Source organism: Homo sapiens, chromosome 6 (genome assembly GCF_000001405.40).
Source record: "Homo sapiens chromosome 6, GRCh38.p14 Primary Assembly".
Classification (NCBI taxonomy): domain Eukaryota; kingdom Metazoa; phylum Chordata; class Mammalia; order Primates; family Hominidae; genus Homo; species Homo sapiens.
The window spans coordinates 38,873,389-38,892,688 of NC_000006.12; the positions used below are offsets into that span (position 1 = coordinate 38,873,389).

The following is a 19,300-nucleotide window of genomic DNA, read 5'->3' on the forward strand; positions in this document are numbered from 1 at the left end:
TTTGTACATTTACTACTTCGATTTTGATTTTTTTTTCACTCAGTTGCAGTTTACAGCCATCTGAAATAGAAAGTTCAGACAGTCCATAAAAATCATTTGATGATGTGGCTGTAAAAGCTCTGATAATTTTGATTTCTATTAAAGATCTTCTTAATGATCTTACTGTTTTCTCTATTATTTTCACTTCCCAGAGGGATGTTGTCAGAGGAAGGGGAATGAACTATCTTTCCCATTGTCAGGTTTAGTGACCTGTCCCATAAAGTGTGTATAATAATGACAGTCAATAAAATATAGTAATTAATTAAATTTTAAAATAAATAAAAAATAACACATACACCTACACACACACACACACACACACACACACACACACACACACACCCCTGCACTCCAGCTGGGGCGACAGAGTGAGACCCTGTCTCAAAATAAATAAATAAGTAAATAAAAATAAATAAAGTTGGTAGCTTCGTGGGAAAGAACAGAAAGGGGCCTGTTGCAATCAAGAAAACTTGGGAGGCAATTTTGGCTTTGGAAATTTAGCATATAACAGGTAAGGAAAATCTTTAAATAAAAATTATCTGACAAGTAGTTGTAGCATTGTTTTTTCCCTTTCTTCCTTCCTTTCCTCTTTCTTTCCCTTTTTCTTTTCTTTTCTTTCTTTCTTTCTTTCTTTCTTTCTTTTTCTTTCTTTCTTTCTTTCTTTCTTTCTCTTTCTCCTTCCTTCCTTCCTCCTTCTCTCTTTCTTTCTTTCTCTTTCTCCTTCCTTCCTTCCTCCTTCTCTCTTTCTTTCTTTCTCTCTCTCTTTCTTTCTCTCTTTCTTTCTTTCTCTCTCGCTCTCTCTTTCTCCCCTCCCTCCCCTTCCCTTCCCTTCCCTTCCCTCCCCTTCCCTCCCCTCCCCTCCCCTCCCCTCCCCTCCCCTCCCCTTCCCTTCCCTTCCCTCCCTCTCTCTCTCTTCTTTTCTTTTCCTTTCTTTTCTTTCCTTTTCTTTCTTTTCTTTCAACAAGGTCTTGCCTGTTGCCCAGGCTGGAGTGTAGTGGTGCAATCAATCATAACTCACTGCAACCTTGAAGTCCTGGGCTCGAGCTGTCCTCCTGCCTTAGCCTTTGAAGTTGTTGGGGCTACAGGCACACACCACCATGCCCAGCTAATTTTTAGATTTTTTATAGAGACAGGGTCTCTGTATGTTGCCCAGGCTGGTCTAGGCTCCTGGACTCAAGCAGTCCTCCTGCCTCAGCCTCCTAAAGTGCTAGGATTGCAGGCATGAGCCACCATGCCCAGCCAGCATTCTTTATTTCCTACTCGGTTTTCCTTATTAGTCTTTGAGTTAAAACAGAATTAATCATAGATCTTCAAGGGCTCTCCTAATTCTGATCTATAGGTGATCTCTCCTTACACATTCTAGAGCTTCAATTCTCAGTTAAGAGAGTCAGTCATTTGTGGGTAGGTTAGAAACAATATATAAGGCCGAAATCAGTGAATTATTTAGTAATTACTTTAAAATGGATCATAGAAGACAATATTTTATTTTGAAGTAATTTTGTTTTGAAAGACCGAGGATGTCCTACTGTACTTGTCTTTCTGATGCTATAGGGCATTGGCACACTTTTTCTTAAAGGGCCAGGTAGTATTAATAAATATTTTAGGCTTTGCACAACTCTCTGTCTCAACCACTCAGCTTTGCTGTTGTAGCACAAAAGCAGCTAGAGACAATGCATAGGTGAATGAGTGTGACTGTGTGTGTGTTCCAGTAAAACTTTATTTACCAAACAGGTGGCCAGCCTCTAGGGCCACAGTTTGCTAAGTCCTGCAAAATTTTACAAAGAAATAGAATCTTTGATCTGGAAAATTTAGATAACTTAACTTTAGAACCAGTAGCTACCTTAGCTGCTTACATCGAGTCTAGGCCTTTTGCTTTCCCAGTAGGAAATTGAGACTCAGAGAGGTCAGTGGGATGAGCTGAGGGTTGAAACCACAGGAGCAGATTTTCAGTTCAGCATCCTTTCTGCTAGACCATGCTGCCTGTCTAAAACAGGATAGCCTTTCTTCTACGTGCTGTTGGCTGTAGGACGGTGATCAAGCAATAGCTTGAGATATATCTATTTTTCTTCTCTCTTCCTTCCTCCTTTTAATTTTACTATTATTTACAATTTTTTATTTTCAAAATTTTAATTTAAAAATTTATTTTATTTGAAACATTTTCAGTCTCTCAATCTTCTGGAAGGGTTAATTCCCTCCAAAGAAGAAGGCGGTGTTTCCTGTGTCGAACATCTTCATAAATTATTTGTGTTTGGCCTAATGTGGAGTTTAGGAGCCCTTCTGGAATTAGAAAGCAGAGAAAAGCTTGAAGCCTTCTTACGGCAGCATGAAAGCAAGTTGGACTTACCAGAAATACCTAAAGGCTCAAATCAAACCATGTATGAGTTTTATGTTACTGATTATGGTAAGCCCACTGAACTATACCTTAAATGAAATGACTTTTTTCAAATGAGAAAATATAAGCTTTCATAAACTCTTCTATGAGAGAATATTAAAACAATTATGAAAACATAATTGTTAATACCATTTTGAAAAGAGCATGTATTTGAAAGAGAGTGGAATTTTGCATATGAATTGTGCCCGAAACTGATATTGAGACTCTTGACTTCTCCTTTTGGAGTGGGCTCAGTAAAATCTGGCATAAATAAGTTAGTAATACCTTGTACAACATCTACTTTCTAATGCTGGAATAGGAAAGGTAGCAGCGTGGAGAACACAGATTCTTCATGATGCAAAGCATGCTAATACACATAACGGATCAGCCCCACAATTCCCCTGTTGGGAATGCCAGAATGAGTAGAGAATGAACGTAGCAGATTCCTCAAGGTCCAGCGCTGTCACCTTAGCCCCCCAGCCTTCCATGTATGGCCGGGCCCAGCTCACTGCTCCTTAAAAGAAATGCCTTTGAACTTGGTGCTTTCATCCAGAGCCCAGGCCCTGATTCTTCAAAGTTCCAAAGAGGAAAAATATGCTTCCTAAAAACTCTAATTACCTCTGGTTCTTCCTAAAAACTCAAAAACAGCAATAGTCTTTTGTTTGTTTGTTTTAATGAATAAACTGAAGGACAACTGGAGCAGGAGAGTAGACAGCAATAGCCAAATTTTGAAAGCAAGAAAGCAGTAAGGTAAGCGGCAGTCGATTTAGCACACTGGCAGTGGGAAGAGCTGAGAAGTAATTGAGAAGCGCACGTCACAGGACATTCAAAGGGCTCAGGAAGTGGAAACTGGGGCAAAAGTTGAGCTAAAAACCACAGGGCTGGTTATAAGTCTGTTTGAGAAAAAGACCTCCTGGGCCGCTTTCCAAAGCCCTGCTGCCAGACAATCGGCCTTCCCCACACTGGCAAGACTAAAGAGTTACTGTTTGAATCGTGTAAAATAGAGGGTTTCCTAGACTTGGGGACACCAGGCACATTTAAGAGTGGGAGAATCATACCAAAACTGGGGATTAAGTGGAAATTTGTGTTTGAAAGGGACTGAGATAAATAAATTTTTTCAGTGGGCCATCTTTAACCAGAAAGGCCAATAATTGTATTACATGTGTTAGATGCTGCTAAAGGTTTGAGATGGCAAAAGGGCACTCTAACTCAAAATGCAAACTAACAAAGGAATCTTTAAATCTAGATATGCACTCCCTTAGAATCCAGAGCCAAGCTCCTCCACAGCGCTGCTTTCTGAGCAGCCGGAGTTCTATGATGTTTAAAGGTTCAGATTGCCTCCCTCTGAGTGCCTTGTCCTTATTCAGAGGCCGGGCCCCAAGTTACTCAGAGAGTGAAATTCATCAGCAGCAATTTTCCAACCATGGCAGAGCCTTGGTTAGGGGATTGAGATGGCATCTAATAAGGAAGCCAATAAAATAATTACCTTCCTCTGTGCCATCAAAAATATGTATTGCCACATTTCTTAAAGAGCAGTCCAGTGATGTTTGTGACATTTTCTTCCAAGTAGCTAGGACTGGTTCTGTAAGTTTAGACAATGATGTTTTCTTATTTTTAATGGAGATGTTAACAAAAGGTTGACAACAATCTAGACTCATATTCCTTCTTCAAGGTGGTCCTGAAGTGGTCTGTTGACTAAAATATTGAGGGGTTGCAGGCATTCAGTCTTGCCATCCTAAGTAACTACTTTTGACGAAATTTATTTGCCCGAGCCTTTGTGGCCACGAAATGAACTAAGATATTATGCACTTAGTGGTTATTTAGGGCCCTAACATGTCCACTCAGCTGACTTCTAGCCAGCCCTTTCTTAACTCATTCTTCATCCATCCTTTTAATTTTTTTATGGACATTAACATCTTTGGAGAAGACTTCATTCATAGATTTAAAATGAAGTAAGGAGACTTATGCTTCCAGCGAAGATGGAGTAATGGGGACTGGGTTTAACCTCTTATATTAAAAATATAGAAAACTGGACAAAATGTGTAAGACGGTTTTTTTTCAGAGATTGGACAATAGGCACTACTGGACTGAAATCACCGAGGGAAGTGAAACAAGGTGATTGCATTAGTTTATTGCATGGATGCAGTTTCTAGAAGCAGCTCAGGGAGGGGAAGATCAAATAGAATTGGCTGTCTCACCAAATGAGAAGGCAGAGGTTGATTTGGGAGAGGCCAAGGTGGCTGGAATTTGCAGGGCAGAGCACCAGAGAGGAGAAATCTGCACAAGGAGGAAGTGTCAGAGAACAACAGAAACAGAAAGACAAATCCACAGTTATACTAAAGGTGTCAATATTTTGAATAATTGATAGAACAAATAGACAAAATTAGTAAATATATGGAAGACTTTAACAACACTATCAATACCCTGAATTCAAAATTATAGAATGCTTCAGCCCAAAACAGCAGAATATACATTTTTTTCCAGTGCACGGAAAACACTTACCAAGATATTCTGGGTCATATAACAATTCTCGATAGGGAGACTTTACAGCACTTTATGTCTTTACTAGAAAAGAAGAAAGGTCTCAAAACAATGATTTCAACTTCTTCCTTAATAAGTTAGGAAAAGAAAAGCAAATTAAACCCAAAGTAAGCAGAAGAAAGAACCATGATCAAAGCAGAAATCAATGAAACAAAAAATAGAACAGCAACAGAAAAAAATCAATGAAACAAAAAGATGGATCTGAAAAGATCAATAAAAAGAATAAATCTCTTATTAGAGACATCAGAACAAAAGAGAAGACATACATTACCATAGTCAAGGATGAAAGAGAGAACATCACTACAGTCCTCACAAACATTAGAAACATGACGTGAGTATATTAGAAACAACTTTGCAAGAACACATTTGACAATGAAGATGAAATGGACAAATTTCTTGAAAGATATAAACTACCAGCCATCATCAAGAAGAACTAGATATTGCACAGCATGCTGAATATAGTTAATAACTGTGTTGTACATTTCAAAATTGCTAAGAGAGTAAATTTCAAATATTTTCAACACAAAAAAATGATAAGCATTTGAGGTGATAGATATGTTAATTCGCTTGTAATAATTCCACATGATACGTTAATTCGCTTGTAATAATTCCATATTGTATCCATAAACCATAACATTTTGTTCCCCATAAATATATACAATTGTAAATTGTCAATTTACAATAAAATTTAAAAAGAAGAAATAGATATCCTAAATAGCCCTATATCTACTAAAGAAATTGAATTTGTAGTTAAAAACCTTCCCACAAAGAAAAACACCAGGCCAAGATGATTTTATTGGTGAATTCGACTAAATATTTAAGGAAGAAATAATACCAACTGTACACAAACTCTTCCAAAAGATATAAAATGTACAATAGGAAGAAACACTTCCCAGCCCATTTCATAAGGACAGTGTTATGCTCATGCCAAAACCAGAGAAAGACATTCCAAGAAAAAAACAAAAACAAAAAAAACTATAGACCAATATTCCTCAGGAACATTGACGAAAATTTCTTAATAAAATTATAACAAATCCAATAGTATACAAAAGTCCAACTGTGGCTTTTATTCTAGAAATGGAAGATCAACATTCAAAAACTGATCAATATAATCTGCCATATAAGACTAAAAACTAAGCAAGCCATAAACAGTCATCTAAATGAATGAAGAAAAGCATTTGGCAAAATTTGACACTCTTTTGTGATGAAATAGGAACTTTATCATCTGACAACATCTACAAAATACCTACAGCTAACGTTATACGGAATGGTAAACAACTAAATACTTCCTTCCCAATATCAAGAACACAACAAGGACGTCTTTCTCACCTCTATTCAATTTCATTTCTATTCAACATTGTACTAGAGGTTCTAGCCAGTGCAGTGGGGGGCAAATCAAATGTCTATAGATTAGAAAAGAACAAGTAAAATTCTCTTTATTTGCAGATGACATGACCATCTGTGGAATCTTCAAAAAGTTATTAGAACTACTAAAGGATTTTAGCAAGGTCACAGGACAAAAGGGCCATACATTTGATAAGTTATATTTCTATATGCTCACAACAAACAGTTGAAAATTGAATTTTAAGAATACCAGTTAAAATAGAACGCAAGGCTGGGTGCAGGGGCTCACACCTTCACACCTGTAATCCCAGCCCTTTGGGAGGCCGAGTGGGGCAGCTCACCTGAGGTCAGGAGTTCAAGACCAGCCTGGCCAACATGGTGAAACCCCGTATCTACTAAAAAAAAACAAAAAAATTAGCCAGGTGTTGTGGTATATGCCCGTAAGCACAGCTACTCAGGAGGCTGAGGCATGAGAATAGCTTGAATCTGGGAGGCGGAGGTTGCAGTGAGCTGAGATTGTGCCACTGCACTCCGGCCTGGGAGACAGAGTGAGACTCTGTCTTAAAAACACACAAACAAAAATAGAATCCAAAAAAAGAATACTTAGGAATAAATTTAATAAAATACGTGTAAGATCTGTATACTAAAACTGTAAAACTGCGCTGAGAGAAGCTATAGAAGGCCCAAATAAGGGGACAGATCTTATTTAAACATTATTTAAAGATTATTTTGCTATTTGAAATAGCAAAATCTAGCCAGTGCGATGGGGGGAAAAATCTCTTTTGCTGTTTAAAAGTCACTATTAAGAAAATGAAAAACCCAGCCACAGACTGTAAAGAACTATTTGAAACATATATATCTGATAAAAAAAATTTATCCAGAATATGTAAAGAACTCCTATAATCCAATAACTATCAATAGGCAACCAATCTAAATTTTAAAATGGGGAGGAAATTTCAGTTGATACTTTGCTAAATAAGATAAGTGAAAGGTGAAAAAAGCATGTGAAAGATATTTAACATCATTGGTCGTCAGGGAAATGCAAATTAAAACTCCAATGGGGTCTGGGTGCAGTGGCTCATGCCTGTAATCCCAACACTTTGGGAGGCCAAGGCGAGTAGATCACTTGAAGTCAGCACTTCGAGACCAGCCTGGCCAACATGGTGAAACCCCGTCTCTACTAAAAATACAAAAATCAGCTGTGCGTGGTGGCGGGTGCCTGTAATCCCAGCTACTCAGGAGGCTGAGGCAGGAAAATTGCTTGAACCCGGAGATGGAGGCTGCAGTGAGCTGAGATCGCACCACTACACTCCAGTCTGGGCCACAGAGGCAGACCTTGCTTCAAAAAAAACAAAAACAAAACCCCGCACAATGGATATCATCACATAGCCACTGGAATGTCTACAGTTAAAAAGGTTAATAATGCCAAATATTGGTGCCGTAATAGAGCACCTAGAGCCCTCATATGCTACAGAATGGCACAGCCACTTTGGAAAATAGTTTGGCAGTGTTTTAGAAGTTAAACATACTCATTTTTGCTTACTTTCTCAAGAAAACATGAAATTGGGGTTATTACTCCAATGATGAGTATTTGTTCATCATTGTTTCACCAATATCAATGTATGCTTTCTTTCCATGCATTCTGTGTACACAGTAACTTTTGGGTATAATTCTGAATCATTGTATAATCTTTTTGAAGACATTTAAAATAGAGGCTAAACGTATCAATGAAAGTAATTCAATTTGAATGGCAATGATAGGAATAACGCCAATACAAGTTTGCCTAGCAACAGCAATGGTACAGTACCACAGGTTGTAAGGAACATCCAGAGATGCTAAAATGTAAATAAATTTTTGAAATCAATGTTTTTTTTTTTTTTTTTTGAGACGGAGTTTCGCTCTTTGTTGCCCACGCTGGAGTGCAATGGCGCGATCTTGGCTCACCACAACCTCCGCCTCCCGGGTTCAAGTGATTCTCCTGCCTCAGCCTCCCGAGTAGCTGGGATTACAGGCATGCACCACCAGGCCTGGCTAATTTTGTATTTTTAGTAGAGACAGGGTTTCTCCACGTTGGTCAGGCTGGTCGCGAACTTCCAACCTCAGCTGATCCACCCACCTCAGCCTCCCAAAGTGCTGGGTTTACAGACGTCAGCCACTGTGCCCGGACTTGAAATCAATTTCTTATGGCAAATACTCTATATCTAGTAAACGGTTGACTCTTTTTTTGGTCTTTTCCGTCTTTTCAGTTGATGTGGCTTTTCTGCTAGGCATCCATTACATTACTGGTTTTACCACCGGCTGATTTTAATTCCATTTCAGGCAAGGTTTCTCCAGATGGGTGAGTTAGCAATTTAAAAGCCAATTTACAAAAAATAACAGATGCTGGAGAGGTTGTGGAGAAAAGGAAATGCTTCTACACTGCTAGTGGGAATGTAAATTAGTGCAGCCATTACGGAAAGCAGTTTGGTGATTTCTCAAAGAACTTAAACTTAGACCTACCATCTGACCCACCAATCTCATTATTGGGTATTATACTCAAAGGAACGTATATCATTCTACCATAAAGACACATGCATGCATATGTTCATTGCAGCACTATTCACAATAGCAAAGACATGGAATCAACTTACATGCCCATCAGTGTTAGACTGGATAAAGAAAATTTGGTACACATATACCATGGAATACTATGCAGCCATAAAAAATATGAGATTATGTCCTTTGAAGAAACATGGATGGAGCTGGAAGCCATTATCCTAAGCAGACTAACTCAGGAATAGAAAATCAAATACTGCGTATTTTCAATTATAAGTGGGAGCTAAATATTGAGTACACAGGGATGCAAAGAAAGGAACAACAGACACTGGGGCCTACTTGAGGGTTGGGGGTGGGAGAAGGGTGAGGATCAAAACACTACTTATTGGGTACTATGCTTATCACCTGGTGATGAAATAATCTGTACGACAAACCCCTGTATATCTAACAGACCTGCACATGTATCCCTGAACCTGAAAGTTTTTTTAAAAGCTGACTTTATAAAAAAAGGCAAAACAAATTATCAAATGCTGTAGACATAAGATAAGCAGATATATTAACATGTTTTAGGAAAACATTTTGAATGTTTATACGATTCTATTGATTGTTTATTGCACTTAACATTTTTGTATTATGAGATAACTTTCACAGAATATGGTTCTATTAAGATGAAATTTTACTTATTATATAGGTGATTGGGAGCACTGGAATAAGAAACTTCAGCCTTATTATTATCCAACTGACAGTATTCCGGAATATTCATCAATTTTGGTTCCAAATGTTGACAATATTAGAACAAATTTTTTGATAGACACCATTGCAAAACAACATAAAGTAAGTTTAATAGATAGTTCCTTAAATGATCACAAACCATCCATGGCCACGGGAATATGCACCCATATTTTCTTCCAGCACTTTTATAGTACACATTTTACATTTAAATCTGTAATACAACTGGGACTTATTTTGATGGTAGATGCAATTCTAAAAAGTTATTAAAAATTAGTTGTATTAATTTATAGAAGACTAGCCCATAGAATCATAAGATATTTGAAACTAAATAAGTTGTAACACATTTCAACACTATTATCCTATGATTGCAGGCTGTTTTGCTCACAGGAGAGCAGGGAACTGCAAAAACTGTCATGGTTAAGGCCTATTTGAAAAAATATGATCCTGAAGTACAGCTATCCAAAAGTCTAAACTTTTCATCTGCCACAGAACCAATGATGTTTCAGGTGAAATCCATCATTTGCTGTAATATTATAAACATAATACATTTTAAATTAGTGGTTACAATAAAATGTGTACGCATATAAAATGTGAAAATATTATATATTCAAAAGAAATCATGCTGCACTTGGCATTCAGCTGTTTAGCTTTCCTAAGGCTAAGGTTGAAGGCAAATCCAAATAGCATACTTTGACCTAATATTGAGACTGCAGCTGAACTTTGGAGCATATCTACTGTAATGTAAATGAAGGATAAAACTCCAATGCCTTATTTTTAAAAATTTAACAACATATATTTTAATAATTATATGTATACTTATTAAATGCGTAAGTAAATTATATTCTACTCTGACAAGAATGCTCATTATTTTTAGAAGTATGGATTAAAATCTAATGCATAAGACAAAACGTTTCCTTCTCTCTAGAGAACAATTGAAAGCTACGTGGATAAGCGAATTGGAAGCACATATGGGCCACCAGGAGGGAGAAAAATGACTGTATTTATTGATGATATTAATATGCCTGTGATTAATGAGTGGGGAGATCAGGTATGGCTGAAATATCTCATATAGATGATCCTGAATTTGTATTTTTATGTATATATATTATATATATGTAAATGTTAATAACTTTGTTAAAAACTTTATGTTTTTAAGTCTACTGCCAATCCTCAGTCTTTTTCTGACTTCTCTGTTATAGCTGAGTTTCTCCTTTCTTAAATCCCTATGTGTTTTTTTGTTTTTGTTTTTTTATTAAACTTTAAGTTTTAGGGTACATGTGCACAACATGCAGGTTTGTTACATATGTATACATGTGCCATGTTGGTGTGCTGCACCCATTAACTCGTCATTTAACATTTTGAGACGGAGTCTTGCTCTCTCACCCAAGCTCGAGTGCAGTGGCATGATCTCAGCTCACTGCAAGCTCCACCTCCCGGGCTCAAGCAATTCTCCCTTCCTCAGCCACCTGAGTAGCTGGGATAACATGTGCCCGCCACCACGCCTGGCTAATTTTTGTATTTTTAGTAGAGACACGGTTTCACCATGTTGGCCAGGCTGGTCTTGAACTCCTGACCTCAGATGATCCGCCCACCTCGGCCTCCCAAAGTGCTGGGATTACAGGCATGAGCCATCACACCTGTCTCCTACGTGGTTTTCTACAGCAAATGCCTCCTCTCTCTTTGGCTACTTGACTTCAGTGTCCTTTCTTAGCTCCTCTCTTCTGCCTTTCTGCAGGGTTACATCCTTGCTCTAACCTCTTATTGTGCATAATTTCTGAGGAGTACGTGATGTTCAAAAAAACAAAAACAAAAAATGAAAAACCAAACAACTATTTATTTATTTATTTAACTGTGCCACACACCGTGGTTCTAGTTGTGGTCATCTATCCACCCAGGTCATTCCCCATTAGAAGACTTCACCGGTGTTGCCAGAAGTCCGCATGCTCCTGGTGGGATCCCCAACACTTTCCTCCCACCGACCTACACTGCTTCATTGACACCATCTACTTTGGCTCTACCAGGACAAGTCCCATTTTGCTCTTTATCCCTATTCGCCTCAGACACCACTAGAAGCTCAGTACTCATCCTGTGGCGAAAAACCAAACAGTTCTGTATGGCCTGCGTCTGCTCCAAGGCAGATAGACCTCAGCAGTTCCTGGAAGGAGAGGAGGGTGAAGGCATGTTTAGATCAGGTTCATGCTTATCTTCCATAAGCTGAAGCGCTCCTGAATTCCGAACTCACGTATCCAACTAGGGATGTCTGGTTGGATCGCAAACTTAACACCTCCAACACCTGCTCCTCCAACAGTCTTCTCTCTCTCAGCAAATAGCACCTCCACAGTCACTCTGTCAGAAAATCAAGTTGGCTCTATCTTCACACTGTATCTGAAATTTGACCACTACTCATCACCTCCACTGCTACCACCTGGCGCCACCCACCACCAGCTCTCTTCTTGATCATTACAAATGCCTCCTCACTGCCTCCTGTCTCCCTTACCCTTCTCAGCTTGTTCTCACATCATCAACAAATGAAAACAAGAGTTAGATCACGACACACTCTTCTGGTCAACATCCTCCAAAGAGACTTGTAGAATATAAATACCAAAATCCTTACCATGATCCAAGACTCTACACATTTTGACCGCCTCTCCCTCTTCCCGTGACTCTTTGCTTCCACCACATTTACTGATCTTTGTATACGCTGGATATGGTGTTCACTCAGTACCTCTGCATTTGCAGTTTCCTCTGCCTAGAGTGCTCTTCCCCTAGGTATCGAACTGGCTTACTTTCTCACCTTCTTCAGGTCTTGGCTTATATATCATGTCAGGTGAAGCCTCCCCTGCTCTCCTTGAGTCACACCCTTGAGCCCCTCCTATATTCTACAAAAGTCTTAGAGTATACCATTTTATTTACATATCAACATGCATCTGTACATCTTGTCTCTCACCACTAGAATGTGTGCTTCATGAGGACAGAAAATTTTGTCTATGCTACAAGAGAGGCTGGCACACAGTAGTCATTCATGAAATGTTGGTTAATTGAAAGACGGTTATATTTGAGGTGCTTGTGTGATATGCACTAAGAGATGCTCAATAGAGACTTGAATATACAGGTGTAGAGCTTAGAAGAGAATTTGAAGCTAGAGTTATAGATATGAGATTCTTTAGAATATAGGGTTGAGATAGCATTTCCTGGAACAATGAGAAGAGGAAAGAGCCCAGGATGGAACCCTGGAGAACAGTTACATGTGAGGGATGAGTGGACAATGAGTGGCTTAGGAAGTGATCCCAGAGCCCTGAGATGGACCTGGAAAAAAAACAAGCCTCTGAAACCAAGAGAGGTAACATTTCCAAGGAGGGGGGTTGGCAGTGTTGGAGGATGCAGAGAAGATAAGATGAGAACATAAAACCAACAACCAAAACAGTTAGTAATATAATATTGAAAACTCAGGACAGAAACCATCCTACATTCTGATCTAAAGGTTTTTAAGTGTTGAATATTGAGTATGAAAGATGTCTACAGTAAAACTTGTTGTAACTTGGAGTATTAATGTAATTTAACCAAATATCTTATAACTCACATATCTAAATTTATTTGGAAATTAGTTTGATCAATGTGGTGAAAGGCACCTTGGACTTGGACCATGCATGTGTTATGATCTAGAGTTCATGGGTGACATCATTTAAGTCAAATTACCTTGAAGGTGATCATCGACATTCACAAACACTTCATTGATAAGAGTTTAATGTTTTCTTCTAATCTCATTTGTACTATTTTATTGAAGTTATGGAGGAATATGATAGTGATATGTTACAAAAATATTGCTGTGTGAAATTTCAGATAACTAATGAGATTGTGCGACAGATGATGGAAATGGAAGGAATGTACAGCTTGGACAAGCCTGGAGACTTCACTACTATTGTTGATGTGCAGCTCATAGCAGCAATGATCCACCCTGGAGGTGGTCGAAATGATATTCCACAACGTTTAAAAAGACAATTTACTGTGTTTAATTGTACATTGCCTTCAAATGCTTCAATAGACAAAATTTTTGGTATGAATATTCTTAGCGTTTATTTTATTGCATTACATAATGGACATAAACCACACAAAATTTCATTTAAGAGACAAAAAGGCTCTGTCTAAAGTGGGGTTAGGTATGTGAAATGGAGAGCTAAACACTAGGAAAGAGGGACTAAATACTAAGGTGACCTATGCTTATAGCCTATTCTCAGACTCAGAGATATTTAAAAATAGGCTTGTTGAAAGTTAACATTAGACGTAAAGGAACCTTGGTGTTTTGGTTTTCAGGACATGGTTAATCAGAGAAATTTGGGCCAATAAATGATAGCACAAAGATCACAGATTAACGATATATTATACAAAGTCAAATGTAGCACTTCAATATGTTAATGAAAATGAGATTCTTGACATCAAATGTAACATCGAATCACATAAATTATGCCATCAAAACTTATGTGTAGGTCAGCCCATGCCTATAATCTTAGCACTTTGGAAGACCAAGGTGAGAGAATTGCTGGAGGCCAGGAGATCAAGAGCAGCCTGGGCTCATAGAGAGACCCCATTTCTACAAAAAATTTAAAACATTAGCTGGGCATGGTGGCACACGTCTGTAGTCCTAGCTGCGTGGAAGGCTGAGGCCAGAGGATTGCTTGAGCCTAGGAGGTCAAGGCTGCAGTGAGCTATGATCACATTGCTGCATTCGAGCCTGGGTAACAGAGTAAGAACCTGTCTAAAAAACCAAAAAACAAACCCCCAATCCACCCCAAAACCTCTTACATACACGAGAAACAGACCCTTGCATATAAGAACATTAATTATTTGATATAGCAAGTACTGTAGTCAGAAGGGAAAGGGCAGACTTTTTTTTTTTTTTTTTTTTGAGATGGAGTGTCACTCTTGTCACCCAGGCTGGAGTGCAGTGGCGCGATCTCAGCTCACTGCAACCGCTGACTCCTGGGTTCAAGCGATTCTCCTGCCTCAGCCTCCCAATTAGCTGGGATTACAGGCGCCTGCCACCACACCCGGCTAATTTTTTTGTATTTTTAGTAGAGACGGGGTTTCACCACATTGACAGGGTTGGTCTCGAACTCCTGACCTCAGGTGATCTGCCTGCCTCGGGCTCCCAAAGTGCTGGGATTACAGGCATGAGCCACCGTGCCCATCCGGGAAAGGGCAGACTTTTAATAAGTAGTTCTGGGATACTTAGTAATTCTTATAGGAAAATAATTAAATTTGGACAGCTACCTCATGCCAATGACATGATCAACTACAGATGAGATAAGGACCTAAATATGGAAGGCAAGGCTGTAAAACATTTGGAAGAAAATGTAGAGAAATAGTTGAGTGACCTCTGAGTAGGAAAGGATTTCATAAATGAGACTCAGAAAGCACAAAAATAAAGAAAAAAAATACCAATTTGACTAGATTGAAATGTAAAATTTCTCTTCATTAAAAAATAACATTAAGAGAGTGAAAAGCCTCAAAGTGGAAGAAAAAATTTTAACACATATAATAACAACAAAAATGTCATATTCTGAATATTTAGAGAAATCCTATAAATCAGTCAGTCAAGAAAAGGAAACAACCTGATATAAAAATGGGCAAACAACTAAGGCACTTTAAAAAGAGGAAGCTAAATAGCCAATAAACAAAGTAAAGATGGTAAACATCATCAGTATTCTGGAAAATACAAATGAGAAACACCAAGCGATACCATTTCATACCCACTAGATTTGCAAAAATAAAAAATTCTGACAAAAATCAAGCATTAGTGAGAATGTGAAGCAACTGAGACTCTCATTGCCTGCTGGCCGTAGTGTCAGTTGCTACAAACCCTTTGGATAACAATTTTGCATCCCTGCTGGTAAAGTAGGGCGTGTGCCCATCCCTAGCAGTACCACTTCTAGGTTTATGCCAAATTGTCATTTTTTTCCTTTATGGTTTGGGTTTTCTGAGTCTCAAGAAGTCCTTTTCTATCCGGACATCATACAAGTATTCTTTTATGTTTTCTTCCAGACATTGTATAGTTTTGCCTTCCATATCTGGGGCCTCAATCCATCTGTAGTTGATTTTGCACATGCATGCCAGCAGACTTATACAAAAATGCTCATAGTGCAGCGTACACAATGGCAAAAACGTGAAATAATCCAGATATTTATCACTAGTAAAACTGGATAAATACATCCTGTCACAGGCACACAGTGGCCTGCTGTGCAGCAGTGAAAATGAATGAATATAGCTACATGCTTTCACCATGGATGAAGCCCAGAAATACAATGCTGAATTGAAAGAAGCAAATCACAGGAAAAATATAATTCCATTAAACTGAATTTCAAAAATTTTTTTTTTTTACCAGTTCAGAAGTTCAAAAACCTAAGTGGTGAAGCTATAAAGAAAAGCAAGTTACTGATTATATTAAAGAGAGGTGGCGACCTCTGGAGAAGGGAGGAATTGTGAACAAGGATGAACGTACAAGGGCTTCTAATGTGCTGGGCAAGGTTGTAGTTTTCAATCTGGTGGTCTGTACATGAGCGTTTGTTATTTGTTAAGCTATTTGACATACTCTTCAGTATGACTGACACATTTAAACAAATACGGAAAACAAACCAACCAGAAACTGAGCCTCAGAGAAGTGAGATAACTGCCCAATCAAGGCCTTTTAGCTAGTGCTTGGCAGATGGGTGTTGCTAATCCCTATCTCATGCTTCTTATAACATGGTTGTCCCACAGGAAGGTGGAAATCTAGAATATAGGATTTCAGGAAGCAAACGGACTTTACAGGCACTTAGCACAACCAACCATGATTTGGAGGAAAATTTCATGTTTCCCCAGGGCAATTCTTCAATTAGTGTGAACAAACTCCAGTTTCTTTAGTCTCCACTCTTCATCAACCTGTTCTGCATCTCTGAGCAGATATTCATATTCCTCTGAGAATACCATGCTCAGAACTGAACACACTCTGCAGTGTGTAGTCTCACTGGAGTGAAGCAGAGTAAATCTTTCTTCGGTCTAAATCAAAGACATTCTGAGACTTTGAGAACAGTCTCTAAACCTACACCCCAGTCTTTCTGAGAGTCATAATGATGGTCAGACCATCACTTTGCTGGGTGTTCCCTAGGAATGTTGCATGTCTAGCCCAGGCCAGAGTGGTGACTGACTGTAGGCTGGAAAAAGTGGTCCTGATTCCAGTTCTGCCAATACCAGTCCATGTGACCTTGAACAATCGGCTTCACCTGTCTGGGCCTGGTCTCCTTCTCTGTAAGATGAGGGAGTACTCTCTAAGCTCACATATGCTTCAGGGTGAATGCTGATGTACAGACTCTAGGGCCAGGTTGCTTGGGTTCACATCTCAGATTTGTCTGCATGCAAGCTGTGTAACTTTGAGCAAGTTACTAAGCTCATGTTAAAATGGGACTAGTAATAATAATACCTACCTTGTATTTTTTTCTTGTAGGGTGCTGGGTGGGGGATTAAATGAGTCAATACATATAAAACACTTATCACTGCGTACTAAGCTTGGCTGGATCCACTACTGACTCCCAGTCTTAGCTGATCCCTTGAGAGAAATTCTGAACAACACCCAGCTTAGTCAGCCTTGTAATGATTTGTTTACTGGGATAAACATATACTTGGAAATCTTTTGGTAAGCTTATACCTTCAATCTTGCTTATCTTTCAGGAATTATTGGATGTGGATACTTTGATCCTTGTAGAAGTTTCAAGCCTCAAATATGTGAGATGATTGTGAATTTAGTCTCAGTGGGTAGAGTGCTGTGGCAATGGACTAAGGTACAGAATGGTTTGTCAATAATTTTTAAAAAGGCAACTATTATTCAGCCCTAGATCACACCTCGTGGCTCATTAAGTTATCATAATATCATATATAGTGGTGTTTTTTGGAAAAGACAAATTACGTGCTCAAATAGATTTACAACACCTTTTCCTTCCAGGGAGCAAATGATCTGACTAAATGATGCTTTCCGTATGTATGAGATGTTACTGTAAACCAGACATGACATCCAAGACAAAGTAGAATTTTGCTGAAATGAGAACACTGCATTTCCACTTGTTACTCTGATTTGTAAATCTTTATTTGTATTATCTGTCTCCTTCTACCAAACTATGTCAGACACTCAGATGCTTATTGACTGACTTAATACATGGATTTCCAGATATTCTCAGCCAACTAGGACTTGAAGTCTAACTTGTGTATTTCTCTGAGCAGGAGCGTGAGTTAGTAAATGGATGGAAATGTTCTTAACAAAAATTGGCTAGATTTGCATACACAAGTCAGTGTCCTAAGTAAAGCTCAGCAAACCTGCAGCTGTCCCCAGATGACTTAGGGCAGTACTCATGAAAAGGCAATTAAGTGTAGGTATGAGATAAAAATGAGGTTGATATATTTGACAAAAAGCCATGAAGGAGATAAGGATTAGTTGTCGTAATTCACTACACATCCATTAGGCCAATTATACACATGTGGGCACGCACTTGTCTCCTGGGAAACCTGAGTGTGCCAGCCTTTCAGATTCCTGGGTAGACTGGGGGATTTCTAGATACACAATTATTGGAAGAGGAATTTGGGGGTTTCTTATGAGATGCTCTTCCATGTGGCCACCTTCAGTGATGAGTGTGGGGCCCTGTTCCTTGCCAACACAGGGCCTTTGCACATGCCATTGCACCTCTTTTAAAGAAACTCAGAAATGAGTTGCAAGGACTGAGCGTCTGAGATAGTTTTCCGTGGTAAGATACATGTGGTTTCCAATAGGATTATTGCTCAATTTACTGTGCTTATATACATAGTTCTCTGAAAAGCTTTGCCCTTGCAGCTGTCTTCCATCAGTTTCTTTTGGTATTTGGATGTTTCCTGGCTCCATTTCCTCAGTGTCTTTTCTTTACCTCTTTAATCCATTCTGCACAAGCTTTCATTCCCACTGTTCATGTCAAGGCCACCAAAGACCTTGATCTTGCCACATCTCAAGGTTAATTTTCCTCTCCCTCTTACTTGACTTTTTAGCAGCATTTGACCTAAATGATCCTTTAGCAGCATTTGACCTAAATGATCCCTCTAAATATTTTCTTCACTTGGCTTCAGAGGGTCCCCATAGTCTTGATTTTCTTCCTAGTGCACTGGCTACCTCATTAAAGTCCCCCTTCTTCTTTCCCTCCTCTAAACACTGAAATGCACCTGGTCTCGATGCCAGGCCCTCTTCTCTATCTACATTCTTTCCCTAGGTGGCCTCATCAAGCTTCAAGGCTCTAAACATCATCCCTGTGCTGATGACTTCAAAATGGATATCTCCATCCCAGGCCTCTCTACCTGGCTCCAGGCCGATTGCTAACTACTTAATAGACATCAGTGTTTGATGTCTGATACTCATCTCAAAGTTACCATGTCCAAACAGAACTCCTAAATGTCTTTAAATACAATCCTCTCTCAGACTTCTGCATCTTAGTAGCAGCACCAGTTATCCTGCTTCTTAGGTTAAAATTACTGGGCACCATCCTTGATTTATGTCTTCCTCATGGCCTACATCGAGTCCATCAGTGAATCTCAGTGACCTCCCCTTCAAAATCTACCCCAAAGCTGAACCTTCCTCACCATCCCCCCGTGACCACCCTGATAAGTGGTCCGATCACCTGTCCCCTGGACCATGCAGTAACTTCCTAACCAATCTCCTTGCTTTCTTCTTGCTCTCTTGGAGTCTGTTCTTTT

General features: G+C 39.0%; 1 protein-coding gene across 10 annotated transcripts in view; it reads left to right on the top strand.

Annotated features, from left to right (window-relative positions):
* Positions 1 to 19,300, top strand: part of DNAH8 (dynein axonemal heavy chain 8) — a 315,482-nt gene that overhangs the window by 158,078 nt on the left and 138,104 nt on the right. For 8 of the 10 annotated variants that reach the window (XR_926078.3, NM_001206927.2, XM_011514319.3 and 5 more), the window contains 6 exons: positions 2,203 to 2,440; positions 9,522 to 9,664; positions 9,934 to 10,068; positions 10,488 to 10,610; positions 13,403 to 13,616; positions 17,264 to 17,373. Coding sequence is in view for 9 of the 10 variants with exons in the window: in NM_001206927.2 (NP_001193856.1) it covers positions 2,203 to 2,440; positions 9,522 to 9,664; positions 9,934 to 10,068; positions 10,488 to 10,610; positions 13,403 to 13,616; positions 17,264 to 17,373 (963 nt within the window). In the remaining variant the exon portion in view is untranslated. Of the gene's footprint in view, positions 1 to 2,202; positions 2,441 to 9,521; positions 9,665 to 9,933; positions 10,069 to 10,487; positions 10,611 to 13,402; positions 13,617 to 15,941; positions 16,084 to 17,263; positions 17,374 to 19,300 lie in introns of those variants that run through there. The other 2 variants (XM_017010327.2, XM_047418259.1) reach the window with 2 other exon arrangements.